This window comes from Homo sapiens, chromosome 4 (assembly GCF_000001405.40).
Source record: "Homo sapiens chromosome 4, GRCh38.p14 Primary Assembly".
NCBI lineage: Eukaryota > Metazoa > Chordata > Mammalia > Primates > Hominidae > Homo > Homo sapiens.
The window spans coordinates 75,442,752-75,456,749 of NC_000004.12; the positions used below are offsets into that span (position 1 = coordinate 75,442,752).

Genomic DNA, 13,998 nt, shown 5'->3' on the forward strand with positions numbered 1-13,998 from the left:
CAATTCCCACCTATGAGTGAGAATATGCGGTGTTTGGTTTTTTGTTCTTGTGATAGTTTACTGAGAATGATGATTTCCAATTTCAGCCATGTCCCTACAAAGGACATGAACTCATCATTTTTTATGGCTGCATAGTATTCCATGGTGTATATGTGCCACATTTTCTTAATCCAGTCTATCATTGATGGACATTTGGGTTGGTTCCAAGTCTTTGCTATTGTGAATAATGCTGCAATAAACATACGTGTGCATGTGTCTTTATAGCAGCATGATTTATAGTCCTTTGGGTATATACCCAGTAATGGGATGGCTGGGTCAAATGGTATTTCCAGTTCTAGATCCCTGAGGAATCGCCACACTGACTTCCACAGTGGTTGAACTAGTTTACAGTCCCACCAACAGTGTCAAAGTGTTCCTATTTCTCCACATCCTCTCCAGCACCTGTTGTTTCCTGACTTTTTAATGATTGCCATTCTAACTGGTGTGAGATGTTATCTCATTGTGGTTTTGATTTGCATTTCTCTGATGGCCAGTGATGATGAGCATTTTTTCATGTGTTTTTTGGCTGCATAAATGTCTTCTTTTGAGAAGTGTCTGTTCATGTCCTTTGCCCACTTTTTGATGGGGTTGTTTGTTTTTTTCTTGTAAATTTGTTTGAGTTCATTGTAGATTCTGGATATTAGCCCTTTGTCAGATGAGTAGGTTGTGAAAATTTTCTCCCATTTTGTATGTTGCCTGTTCACTCTGATGATAGTTTCTTTTGCTGTGCAGAAGCTCTTTAGTTTAATTAGATCCCATTTGTCAATTTTGGCTTTTGTTGCCATTGCTTTTGGTGTTTTAGACATGAAGTCCTTGCCCATGCCTATGTCCTGAATGGTAATGCCTAGGTTTTCTTCTAGGATTTTTATGGTTTTAGGTCTAACATTTAAGTCTTTAATCCATCTTGAATTGATTTTTGTATAAGGTGTAAGGAAGGGATCCAGTTTCAGCTTTCTACATATGGCTAGCCAGTTTTCCCAGCACCATTTATTAAATAGGGAATCCTTTCCCCATTGCTTGTTTTTGTCAGGTTTGTCAAAGATCAGATAGTTGTAGATATGCGGCATTATTTCTGAGGGCTCTGTTCTGTTCCATTGATCTATATCTCTGTTTTGGTACCAGTACCATGCTGCTTTGGTTACTGTAGCCTTGTAGTATAGTTTGAAGTCAGGTAGTGTGATGCCTCCAGCTTTGTTCTTTTGGCTTAGGATTGACTTGGTGATATGGGCTCTTTTTTGGTTCCATATGAACTTTAAAGTAGTTTTTACAATTCTGTGAAGAAAGACATTGGTAGCTTGATGGGGATGGCATTGAATCTGTAAATTACCTTGGGCAGTATGGCCATTTTCACGATATTGATTCTTCCTACCCATGAGCATGGAATGTTCTTCCATTTGTTTGTATCCTCTTTTATTTCCTTGAGCAGTGGTTTGTAGTTCTCCTTGAAGAGGTCCTTCACATCCCTTGTAAGTTGGATTCCTAGGTATTTTATTCTCTCTGAAGCAATTGTGAATGTGAGTTCACTCATGATTTGGCTCTCTGTTTGTCTGTTGTTGGTGTATAAGAATGCTTGTGATTTTTGTACATTGATTTTGTATCCTGAGACTTTGCTGAAGTTGCTTATGAGCTTAAGGAGATTTTGGGCTGAGACAATGGGGTTTTCTAGATATACAATCATGTCATCTGCAAACAGGGACAATTTGACTTCCTCTTTTCCTAATTGAATACCCTTTATTTCCTTCTCCTGCCTAATTGCCCTGGCCAGAACTTCCAACACTATGTTGAATAGGAGTGGTGAGAGAGGGCATCCCTGTCTTGTGCCAGTTTTCAAAGGGAATGCTTCCAGTTTTTGCCCATTCAGTATGATATTGGCTGTGGGTTTGTCATAGATAGCTCTTATTATTTTGAAATACGTCCCATCAATACCTAATTTATTGAGAGTTTTTAGCATGAAGGGTTGTTGAATTTTGTCAAAGGCTTTTTCTGCATCTATTGAGATAATCATGTGGTTTTTGTCTTTGGCTCTGTTTATATGCTGGATTACATTTATTGATTTGCGTATATTGAACCAGCCTTGCATCCCAGGGATGAAGCCCACTTGATCATGGTGGATAAGCTTTTTGATGTGCTGCTGGATTCGTTTTGCCAGTATTTTATTGAGGATTTTTGCATCAATGTTCATCAAGGATATTGGTCTAAAATTCTCTTTTTTTGTTGTGTCTCTGCCTGGCTTTGGTATCAGAATGATGCTGGCCTTGTAAAATGAGATAGGGAGGATTCCCTCTTTTTCTATTGATTGGAATAGTTTCAGAAGGAATGGTACCAATTCCTCCTTGTACCTCTGGTAGAATTCGGCTGTGAATCCATCTGGTCCTGGACTCTTTTTGGTTGGTAAGCTATTGATTATTGCCACAATTTCAGCTCCTGTTATTGGTCTATTCAGAGATTCAACTTCTTCCTGGTTTAGTCTTAGGAGAGTGTATGTGTCCAGGAATTCATCCATTTCTTCTAGATTTTCTAGTTTATTTGCGTAGAGGTGTTTGTAGTATTCTCTGATGGTAGTTTGTATTTCTGTGGGATCAGTGGTGATATCCCCTTTATCATTTTTTATTGCATCTATTTGATTCTTCTCTCTTTTTTTCTTTATTAGTCTTGCTAGAAGTCTATCAATTTTGTTGATCCTTTCAAAAAACCAGCTCCTGGATTCATTAATTTTTTGGAGGGTTTTTTGTGTCTCTATTTCCTTCAGTTCTGCTCTGATTTTAGTTATTTCTTGCCTTCTGCTAGCTTTTGAATGTATTTGCTCTTGCTTTTCTAGTTCTTTTAATTGTGATGTTAGGGTGTCAATTTTGGATCTTTCCTGCTTTCTCTTGTGGGCATTTAGTGCTATAAATTTCCCTCTACACACTGCTTTGAATGCGTCCCAAAGATTCTGGTATGTTGTGTCTTTGTTCTCGTTGGTTTCAAAGAACATCTTTATTTCTGCCTTCATTTCGTTATGTACCCAGTAGTCATTCAGGAGCAGGTTGTTCAGTTTCCATGTAGTTGAGCGGTTTTGAGTGAGATTCTTAATCCTGAGTTCTAGTTTGATTGCACTGTGGTCTGAGAGATAGTTTGTTATAATTTCTGTTCTTTTACATTTGCTGAGGAGAGCTTTACTTCCCAGTATGTGGTCAATTTTGGAATAGGTGTGGTGTGGTGCTGAAAAAAATGTATATTCTCTTGATTTGGGGTGGAGAGTTCTGTAGATGTCTATTAGGTCTGCTTGGTGCAGAGCTGAGTTCAATTCCTGGGTATCCTTGTTGACTTTCTGTCTCGTTGATCTGTCTAATGTTGACAGTGGGGTGTTAAAGTCTCCCATTATTAATGTGTGGGAGTCTAAGTCTCTTTGTAGGTCACTCAGGACTTGCTTTATGAATCTTGGTGCTCCTGTATTGGGTGCATATATATTTAGGATAGTTAGCTCTTCTTGTTGAATTGATCCCTTTACCATTATGTAATGGCCTTCTTTGTCTCTTTTGATCTTTGTTGGCTTAAAGTCTGTTTTATCAGAGACTAGGATTGCAACCCCTGCCTTTTTTTGTTTTCCATTGGCTTGGTAGATCTTCCTCCATCCTTTTATTTTGAGCCTATGTGTGTCTCTGCACGTGAGATGGGTTTCCTGAATACAGCACACTGATGGGTCTTGACTCTTTATCCAATTTGCCAGTCTGTGTCTTTTAATTGGAGCATTTAGTCCATTTACATTTAAAGTTAATATTATTATGTGTGATTTTGATCCTGTCATTATGATGTTAGCTGGTTATTTTGCTCGTTAGTTGATGCAGTTTCTTCCTAGTTTCGATGGTCTTTACATTTTGGCATGATTTTGCAGCAGCTGGTACTGGTTGTTCCTTTCCATATTTAGTGCTTCCTTCAGGAGCTCTTGTAGGGCAGGCCTGGTGGTGACAAAATCTCTCAGCATTTGCTTGTCTGTAAAGGATTTTATTTCACCTTCACTTATGAAGCTTAGTTTGGCTGGATATGAAATTCTGGGTTGAAAATTCTTTTCTTTAAGAATGTTGAATATTGGCCCCCACTCTCTTCTGGCTTGTAGGGTTTCTGCCGAGAGATCTGCTGTTAGTCTGATGGGCTTCCCTTTGAGGGTAACCCGACCTTTCTCTCTGGCTGCCCTTAACATTTTTTCCTTCATTTCAACTTTGGTGAATCTGACAATTATGTGTCTTGGAGTTGCTCTTCTCGAGGAGTATCTTTGTGGTGTTCACTGTATTTCCTGAATCAGAACATTGGCCTGCCTTGCTAGATTGGGGAGGTTCTCCTGGATAATATCCTGCAGAGTGTTTTCCAACTTGGTTCCATTCTCCCCATCACTTTCAGGTACACCAATCAGACGTAGATTTGGTCTTTTCACATAGTCCCATATTTCTTGGAGGCTTTGCTCATTTCTTTTTATTCTTTTTTCTCTAAACTTCCCTTCTTGCTTCATTTCATTCATTTCATCTTCCATTGCTGATATCCTTTCTTCCAGTTGATTTCATCAGCTCCTGAGGCTTCTGCATTCTTCACGTAATTCTCGAGCCTTGGTTTTCAGCTCCATCAGCTCCTTTAAGCACTTCTCTGTATTGGTTATTCTAGTTATACATTCTTCCAAATTTTTTTCGAAGTTTTCAACTTCTTTGCCTTTGGTTTGAATGTCCTCCCGTAGCTCAGAGTAATTTGATCGTCTGAAGCCTTCTCCTCTCAGCTCGTCAAAGTCATTCTCCATCCAGCTTTGTTCCGTTGCTGGTGAGGAACTGCGTTCCTTTGGAGGAGGAGAGGCACTCTGCTTTTTAGAGTTTCCAGTTTTTCTGTTCTGTTTTTTCCCCATCTTTGTGCTTTTATCTACTTTTGGTCTTTGATGATGGTGACGTACAGATGGGTTTTTGGTGTGAATGTCCTTTCTGTTTGTTAGTTTTCCTTCTAACAGAGAGGACCCTCAGCTGCAGGTCTGTTGGAATACCCTGCCGTGTGAGGTGTCAGTGTGCCCCTGCTGGGGGATGCCTCCCAGTTAGGCTGCCCGGGGGTCAGGGGTCAGGGACCCACTTGAGGAGGCAGTCTGCCCATTCTCAGATCTCCAGCTGCATGCTGGGAGAACCACTGCTCTCTTCGAAGCTGTCAGACAGGGACATTTAAGTCTGCAGAGGTTACTGCTGTCTTTTTGTTTGTCTGTGCCCTGCCCCCAGAGGTGGAGCCTACAGTGGCAGGCAGGCCTCCTTGAGCTGTGGTGGGCTCCACCCAGTTGGAGCTTCCCAGCTGCTTTGTTTACCTAATCAAGCCTGGGCAATGGCGGGCGCCCCTCCCCCAGCCTCGCTGCCACCTTGCAGTTTGATCTCAGACTGCTGTGCTAGCAATCAGCGAGACTCCGTGGGCATAGGACCCTCCGAGCCAGGTGCGGGATATAATCTCGTGGTGCGCCGTTTTTTAAGCCCATCGGAAAAGCGCAGTATTCGGGTGGGAGTGACCCAATTTTCCAGGTGCCGTCCATCACCCCTTTCTTTGACTCAGAAAGGGAACTCCCTGACCCCTTGCGCTTCCCAAGTGAGGCAATGCCTCGCCCTGCTTTGGCTCGCGCACGGTGCACGCACCCACTGACCTGCGCCCACTATCTGGCACTCCCTAGTGAGATGAACCCGGTACCTCAGATGGAAATGCAGAAATCACCCGTCTTCTGCATCGCTCACGCTGGGAGCTGTAGACCGGAGCTGTTCCTATTCAGCCATCTTCAGGTAATAGCAGCTCTATGTCAACATATTATATTTTCAATTTATGATGAGTTTATCAGGATATAACCCCATCGTAAGTTAAGGAGCAGCTGTACAATAAAGAAGACCTGAACAAATGTGGAGACATACCATATTGTTAGATTGGAAGACTCAACATAGTAAATTCTCCCCAAATAAATATACAAGTTTAATATAATTTGTATCAAAATCCCAGCAAAATCTTTTGTAGATAGACAAGATTATTATAATATTATATGGAGAAGCAAAGGAAGTAGAATAACTAAAAACAATTTTGAAAAAGAAAATGAGGAATCAGTCTACCTAATATCGATACCTATTATATAGCAACAGTGATCAAGAGTGTATAGTATTGGCAGAGGGATAGACATAGACCAATGCAACAGAACAAAGAACGCAGTAGATAATGTCTAACTGACTTTTTACAAAGGTGCAAAAGCAATGTAATAGAGGAAAGGCAGCATTTTCAACAAATGGTGCTGGAGCAATTGGACATTCATAGGCAAAAAGTAAATCACAACGTAAGTCTTATATCTTTTTATGGTGGATGGGGGATGCCCAGACTGTCACCCAGACTGGAGTGCAGTTGTGCAATCTCACCTCACTGCAACCGCTGCCTTCAGGGCTCAAGCGATTCTCCCACCTCAGCCTCCTGAGACTACATGAGCATGCCATCACTCCCAGCTAATTTTTTTTTTTTTTTTTTGAGAGGGGATTTTGTCATGTTGCCCAGGCTGATCTTGAACTCCTGGATTCAAGCAATCACCTCACCTTGGCCTCTCAAAGTGCTGAGATTACAGGCATGGGCCACCACTCATGTAAGTCTTATATCTTACACAAAAAAATAAATTACTGACTTAAACATAAGACAAAACTAAAACTATAAAACTTTTAGGAAAAAAAAAGAGAAAATCCTTGAAAACCTAGGGCTAGACAACAAGTTCTTCAACTTGAAACTAAAAGCATAATTCATAAAAGGAAAAAATTAGTAAATTGTAATTCATTAAAATTTAAAACTTTTGTTCTTGGGAAGACCTAATTAAGAATAAGAAAAGGCAAGCTACGGACTGGTAAAAAATATCTGCAAACAACATAGCTGATGAATGACTAGTTCCTATAATATATAAAGAACACTCAAAATTCAACAATTTAAAAAATCCAACTAAAACATGTGCAAAAGACATGAAGGGACATTTCACCAAAGAATATATACAGAAAGCAAATAAATAGATGCAAAGATGTTCAACATCATTAGTCATCAGGAAAATACAAATTAAAACCACAACGAGTTATCACTATACACCTCAGAATGGCTAAAATAAAAAATTGTGAAAACATGAAATAAAACGGCAAGAATGAGTTCTAAATAATCATAGTTATAACAAATGTAAATTGTACTCTTGGTTTGGATGATAAGAAGAAAAAATAAAATCCAACAATGTGTTGTTTACAAGACCCACAGAGGATCAGAAATTTGGTTGATGTGAGGAAAAAGTCCACACATTTGGAGTCAGAAGTGAATAAAAACAGCTCAGTAATTATAACTTTATTTTCAATTTCTGCAATTTATTTTCAATTTTAATTTTGTTTGCAGTGTGGTTCGGTCCACAAGACTACCCTCACTTCAGAGGCCAGTCATGAGTATTGGGTCTCCAGGTTACCCATATTTCTGTTCAACTTAATTTCAAATTCGGAGTCTCACATTTCCCTCCCCTACAGGTTTAATACTTTGTAGAACAGCTCATAAAACTCAGGAAAGCAGTTTACTCATGTTTACTGGTTTATTATAAAGGATACAAAGCAGAAGCAGCCAAGCAGAAGAGATTCATAAAGTATGGGGAAGCAGGGGTAGAACGGTTCCATGACCTCTTGAGAGCATCCTCCCCTAGCACCTTGATGTGTTCACCAACCCAAAGCTCTCCAAATCCCATTGTTTGGGATTTTTATGGAAGTTTTATTATTTAGACATGGTTGATTAAATCATGGGCTGTTGAAGATTAGTTCAATCTCCACCTTCTTCCCCCCACCCCGAGAAATTTGGGGGTGGGGCTTAAAGTTCCAACGATCCAATCATGCCATGGGCTTTCTGGCAATCAACCCTCAACCTGAAGCTATCTAGAGGCCTCTAGCCACCAGTCATTTCACTCAAATACAAAAGATACTCTTATTATTCCTAAGATTCTAAGGGTTTTAGAAACCGTGTGCCAGGAACCGTGGACAAAAACCAAACTGTTTTTATTCTACCGCAATTGCATATAGACTTTGGTATGCAACAAAAACAAATAGATTAGAGAGAGAGAGAGACAGAGAGAGAGAGATAATTGATAGATAGATGACAGTTAATAGATAGAAGATAGAGAGATAGATGATAGATGATAGATAGATAGATAGATAGATAGATAGATAGATAATACAGGGAAAAACAAAATTTACTCAGGTTGAACATTTGCATAACATATGACTTAGCAATTCCATGCCTAAGTGTATCTGCAAAAAAAAACTCTTGCCCATGAACACTGGGAGACATGCACTGGAATGTTCATAGCAGCATTGTTTGTAACAGCAAAAAACTTAACACCTTTTGGTAAGATATTCAAATGGTTAAATGTTTTATAGCAGTAAAAAGTGAATGAAATGCAGCTATTATAGTATGGATAAATCTTAGTAATAAATGCTGAATGATAAAATCAAGTCTTCGAAGGCTACATGACTCTTTGAAGTTTAAAGACAGTCAATAATAAACAATGTATTGTTTTAGCACACATATATACACATATACATATATACACAAACATATACACACAAACATATATACACACGTGTGTGTATATGTGTATATACATACATATATATATATATATATATATAAACTATTTTTAAAAGCAAGGCAAACACAAAATTTAGGACAGCTATTATTTCCAAAGGCAAGCAGGGGAACAGGGTGAAGATAAGTACTTAGGTAGATGTAATTGTTATTGTTTTAGTTCTTGAGTCAGATGGTGAGTTAAAATTTAAAAGAAAAGCTATGCAAGAAAGGAATTAAGAAAGGTAAACTAGCTAGATATTAAACAGAAGAAATCAAGTATAGCAATTTTAATATTAGATTAAAAAAGAACAAATAAGATGTGAAACATCAAACGACAAATAGGGGTACGGTATACTAATATTAGAAATAATGGACCAAGAAGACTTAATGATCATGAACCAATATGCAGTGAACCATGCAGGCTTAAATATATATGGAACAATAACTGACAGAACATGGGGAGAAAAAAAATTAGTCATTCTACATGCAGATTTGTGATTGTTAATTAATTTATTGGTTTAATGGTAATTTCTTTTTAAAATAATGACTTTCAATTCTAGAGAACTTTTTAATTGAGGTATAATTTTTGTGCAAAATAATTCACAGATATTTTAAGTCTTACGGTTAGGTGGGCATTGACAGATGAATATATATCCACATAATCTCCATATTCAAGATATAAATTCTTTCTGTTATCTCAGAAAGTTTCTTTGTGTCTTTTTTTTTCTGCTAATTCTCATTTCCTTCCCCCTCCAGAGGGAAGCATTGCTCTGAATTCTTCTCGTTTTTTGAAGATTTTTTTAAATGTATTTACTTTTGATTGACAAATAATAATTGTACATATTCATGGGGTACTTGGTGATGTTTTAATACATGCATTTTCTGATGTAACTACCTCTGAAGATCTACTTGGAGAGTTTTTAACTCACATTTTATCTTAGTCCATTCAGGCACTGTAACAAAAATGCCATAAACTGGGTGGCTTTTATAATTTATTTCTCACAGTTCTGGAGGCTGGGAAGTCCAAGGTCATGGTAACTCAACAGATTTGGTGTCTGGGGAAAATTCATTCCTCATAGACTGCACCTTCTCACTTCATATTCACATGCTGGAAGAGGCACAGCAGGTTTCTGTGGCCTTTTTTATTACGGCACTAATCTCACTCATGAGGGCTCTACCCTCATGACTTAATAAGGTCCCAAAAGCCTCACCTCTTAATACTATCACTCTGGGGATTAGGTTTCAACATATAATTTTTTTTATTTTTTTGAGATAGTCTCGCTCTATCGCCCAGGCTGGAGTGCAGTGGCACGATCTCAGCTCACTGCAAGCTCCACCTCCCAGGTTCACGCCATTCTCCTGACTCAGCCTCCCAAGGAGCTGTGAATACAGGCGTCCGTCACCACGCCCGGCTTTTTTTTTTTTTTTTTTTTTAATTTCTTGGTAGACACGGGGTTTCACTGTGTTAGCCAGGATGGTCTCTATCTCCTAACCTTGTGATCCGCCCACCTCGGCCTCCCAAAGTGCTGGGATTACAGGCCTCCCAAAGTGCTGGGATTACAGGATTGCTGCGCCTGGCCTCAACATATAAATTTTAAGGGGACACAAACATTCAGATCCATAGCACCATTCTCAGAAACTGATTGCCCAAGTAGAGGAGGGAAAAACACATATAATATTTTAATCTCAAATTAATGAACATATAAACTCAAGCTAAGAAATCTACAGAATGTTATCCCACACTCAGAATATACACACCAAAATTGCCTATAGTATAGACTAACGAGTAAACCTATACAAAAACACAAATAAGCATTTAGAAATTCTCAATACTATTATATTATCACACTGATTATACACGGATAATAATCAAAATACCTAATGTCTGAAACTAAAAAATATGCTACTAAGCATAGGTGCACAAATTATGTAACCCTTTCCAAACTGCACTTCAGGCTTTCTCAGAGCTGCGTCTTTCTTTTCATAAATTTTAATGTTTAGCTCTGAAAAACTAGATGCTCTTCTAACTCTGGCATAAAGCCCTTGCAAGGTAAGGAGCAAAGATTCCTACTTCCGGCTGAAGCTGCCAGAAGCAAAGAATATTCTGCATCATAAAACTAACCTAACGTTAATCGAACAAAGATTTGTAAGACACTCAGACTTCAGAGACTGTTGTTATATCCTGGGGAAATAGTGTCTCATCTCTAAGAAGTTTATAATGCTGATTGGTTGTCTTATTATGTGTTGCCCTGGTAATAATATTTAAATTGGCATCTTTTTTTTCTTTTTTTTTATTTTATTATTATTATACTTTAAGTTTTAGGGTACATGTGCACAATGTGCAGGTTAGTTACATATGTATACATGTGCCATGCTGGTGTGCTGCACCCATTAACTCGTCATTTAGCATTAGATATATCTCCTAAAGCTATCCCTCCCCCCTCCCCTACTTGTTGACTTTGTTAAACCAGAAAGAGATTATTGGCACTTAACATGCCTAGCAAAGACAAGTAAAATGAGTTTTAGATTTCTATTTTACGCAGAGCCTGATTGAAAGTCTTTTCTTATTTAAATAAATGAATAACACATGGGTTAAACAAAATATCATGGGAAAAATTCTCAGCTACTTAGAACTGAATGATAATAATATATACTATATATTAAAACCTGTAAGATTCACCTAAATAGTACTTAGAGGGAAATTTAAGTCTTTGAATACATTGAAGGAAGATTAAAAACAAATTAACTATTTCTCTTTCTCTTTCTCTCTCCTCCAATCTTTTTCCTTTCTTCCCTTCTCAAATAATTCAGCCCTTAATGTATTAAATGACCCCAACAGAAGTAGGCATCCACGCCATAGGAATGGGGAGAGGGTGAGCCATGGTGGCCCAGAGCATGGAGTTGGAGTCTGAGAAGCATAAGGGCAACCATGCCGAGGAGTGGCCCAACTTAGCCAAGTGGGGTAAGGAGGTGGAGGTTTCCTCCATCCCCATGGATCAGGATGTCAGAGCCTGAGTGAGGTGAGCAGGTCTATGCAAACCTAACTCTAAACACTGAGGGTGTTGAAAGGCCAAAGAAAGAGGTTGACAAATACAGTTTCTCCGAAAAAAAATCTTTAATAGGGAGTTATGAACAGAAATGAGGACTCAAGTGACCATCAAATGGTGGAGTCCCCCACCTGCCCTCCAGAAAATATCCTTTATATAGCAAGCTTATATATCCTTTACAGAACCAGCATGTGCAGCTGGTTATGCCTCCAACTTTTCTTGCAAAACTTGTGACTGCTAAGGTGGTTAGATAAGCATCTTACAAGGGGTTATCTGTTGTTTAAAGTTCTTGCTACAGAACATGTTGATATAGAGGGGTCAAACATCAGACACCATGGCAGTTTCGATTCAATATAGTGTCACTCTTGCCATGCAACAGTCTGTTTTCCTACACTTCACCCCTTAACATTGGCCCTTACAATCTCACATACCTGCGTCTTTCACAATAGTCCCTGCACCAAGAGGGAGGGTGCTTAATGTTATATAGCTTTAATAGTGGTGCATTGGCAATGGAAAACAGAGCAGGCTCAGCAGGACTCCAAATGAAGGAGATTCACATGCTTTGTTGAATCATCTCTAGTCTTTGGAATACCATGGTTCTGGTTTCCTTGGAAGAAGAAAAACAATGAGAGATACATAACATTAGTAATGTGAATAGCAGAAATAAAATGCACACAAGGATTACAATCAAAGAGAGAAATTCTATGTCAGAATAGAAAGAAAGAAAACCTTATTCCATTAGGGAGCCAACTAAAAACATCATGAAGAAAATTAAAACCGGGTTCTTCTTTAGAGATTTATTGTAGCCAGGAAATAATCCAAGATTTAACCCAAATTGTAGATAAATAATAAAAACTTAAAAACAATGGTCAGGGTTAAAATCTAATAAGCAGGTGTGCTTATTAGATATGGTTTTGTTCTGAAACATAATTTTCCTCTCTTCAGTCCCCCTTTTCTACCAAAAAGAAATAGTAAGACCAATTTATTTGCAAAATAAATTTTAGACTTATTATACTTGACCTGATAATTTGCATAAAGTGCAAGAATAGCAATTGGCCATATAGGCTCCTTTAAATTTGCCTTTGCTGGAACTTTTTCATAAGGATTTTGAGATTAAACTTTTAAAAGCCTCTAGATGTTTAGAAGCCAAGCCAAGGATTTGCCATCCTGTAATGCCTGTATAAATTGGATGAATTCCTTTCTTCTCAAGGTCTCAAAATATCTTGAGGTTCCTGGGCCTGTCAGAAAGTTAACACTCTTTACTTACCACAAGGTCAGGAATCTTGTAAGGTCAGGAATCTTGTAAGTGAAGCATATAGACAAGGTACCGGGCCAGTTTTCCAAGGGGGTTCGTATTGGCTCTGTAAAGTCAACCTCAATTCCTCAAAACTGTTTGGTCATATCTGAAAATTACCAATGTTTCCAGTGTGTCCTATTATAAAAGAAAACATTCTTTTTTTAATTATTATTATACTTTAAGTTTTAGGGTACATGTGCACAATGTGCAGGTTAGTTACATATGTATACATGTGCCATGCTGGTGTGCTGCCCCCATTAACTCGTCATTTAGGATTAGGTGTATCTCCTAATGCTATCCCTCCCCTCTCCCCCTACCCCACAACAGTCCCCAGAGTGTGATGTTCCCCTTCCTGTGTCCATGTGTTCTCCTTGTTCAATTCCCATCTATGAGTGAGAACATGCGGTGTTTGGTTTTTTATCCTTGCGATAGTTTACTGAGAATGATGATTTCTAATTTCATCCATGTCCCTACAAAGAACATGAACTCATCATTTTTATGGCTGCATAGTATTCCATGGTGTATATGTGCCACATTTTCTTAATCCAGTCTATCATTGATGGACATTTGGATTGGTTCCAAGTTTTTGCTATTGTGAATAGTGCCGCAATAAACATACGTGTGCATGTGTCTTTTTAGCAGCATGATTTATAGTCCTTTGGGTATATACCCAGTAATGGGATGGCTGGGTCAAATGGTATTTCTAGTTCTAGATCCCTGAGGAATCGCCTCACTGACTTCCACAATGGTTGAACTAGTTTACAGTCCCACCAACAGTGTCAAAGTGTTCCTATTTCTCCACATCCTCTCCAGCACCTGTTGTTTCCTGACTTTTTAATGATTGCCATTCTAACTGGTGTGAGATGGTATCTCACTGTGGTTTTGATTTGCATTTCTCTGATGGCCAGTGATGATGAGCATTTTTTCATGTGTCTTTTGGCTGCATAAATGTCTTCTTTTGAGAAGTGTCTGTTCATATCCTTTGCCCACTTTTTGATGGGGTTGTTTGTTTTTTTCTTGTAAATTTGT

At 38.5% G+C, this 13,998-nt stretch overlaps 1 long non-coding RNA gene across 1 annotated transcript, besides 1 other annotated feature; it reads right to left on the bottom strand.

Moving 5' to 3' along the window:
- Positions 4,954-5,522: an enhancer, noted in NCBI's record as "H3K27ac-H3K4me1 hESC enhancer chr4:76372915-76373483 (GRCh37/hg19 assembly coordinates)". NCBI's record gives its function as "activates a minimal SCP1, AML or CMV promoter by ChIP-STARR-seq in naive H9 embryonic stem cells {active_cell/tissue: H9 hESC(naive)}" and the evidence as "EXISTENCE:reporter gene assay evidence [ECO:0000049][PMID:30033119]".
- LOC107986230 (uncharacterized) lies at positions 5,745-13,115 on the bottom strand. Its single transcript, XR_001741514.2, has 3 exons — positions 12,940-13,115; positions 12,104-12,279; positions 5,745-5,908 (listed from the first exon to the last, which is right to left on the bottom strand). It is a non-coding gene; the product is annotated as an uncharacterized LOC107986230 (long non-coding RNA).
- Between the last annotated feature and the right edge of the window lie 883 nt (positions 13,116-13,998).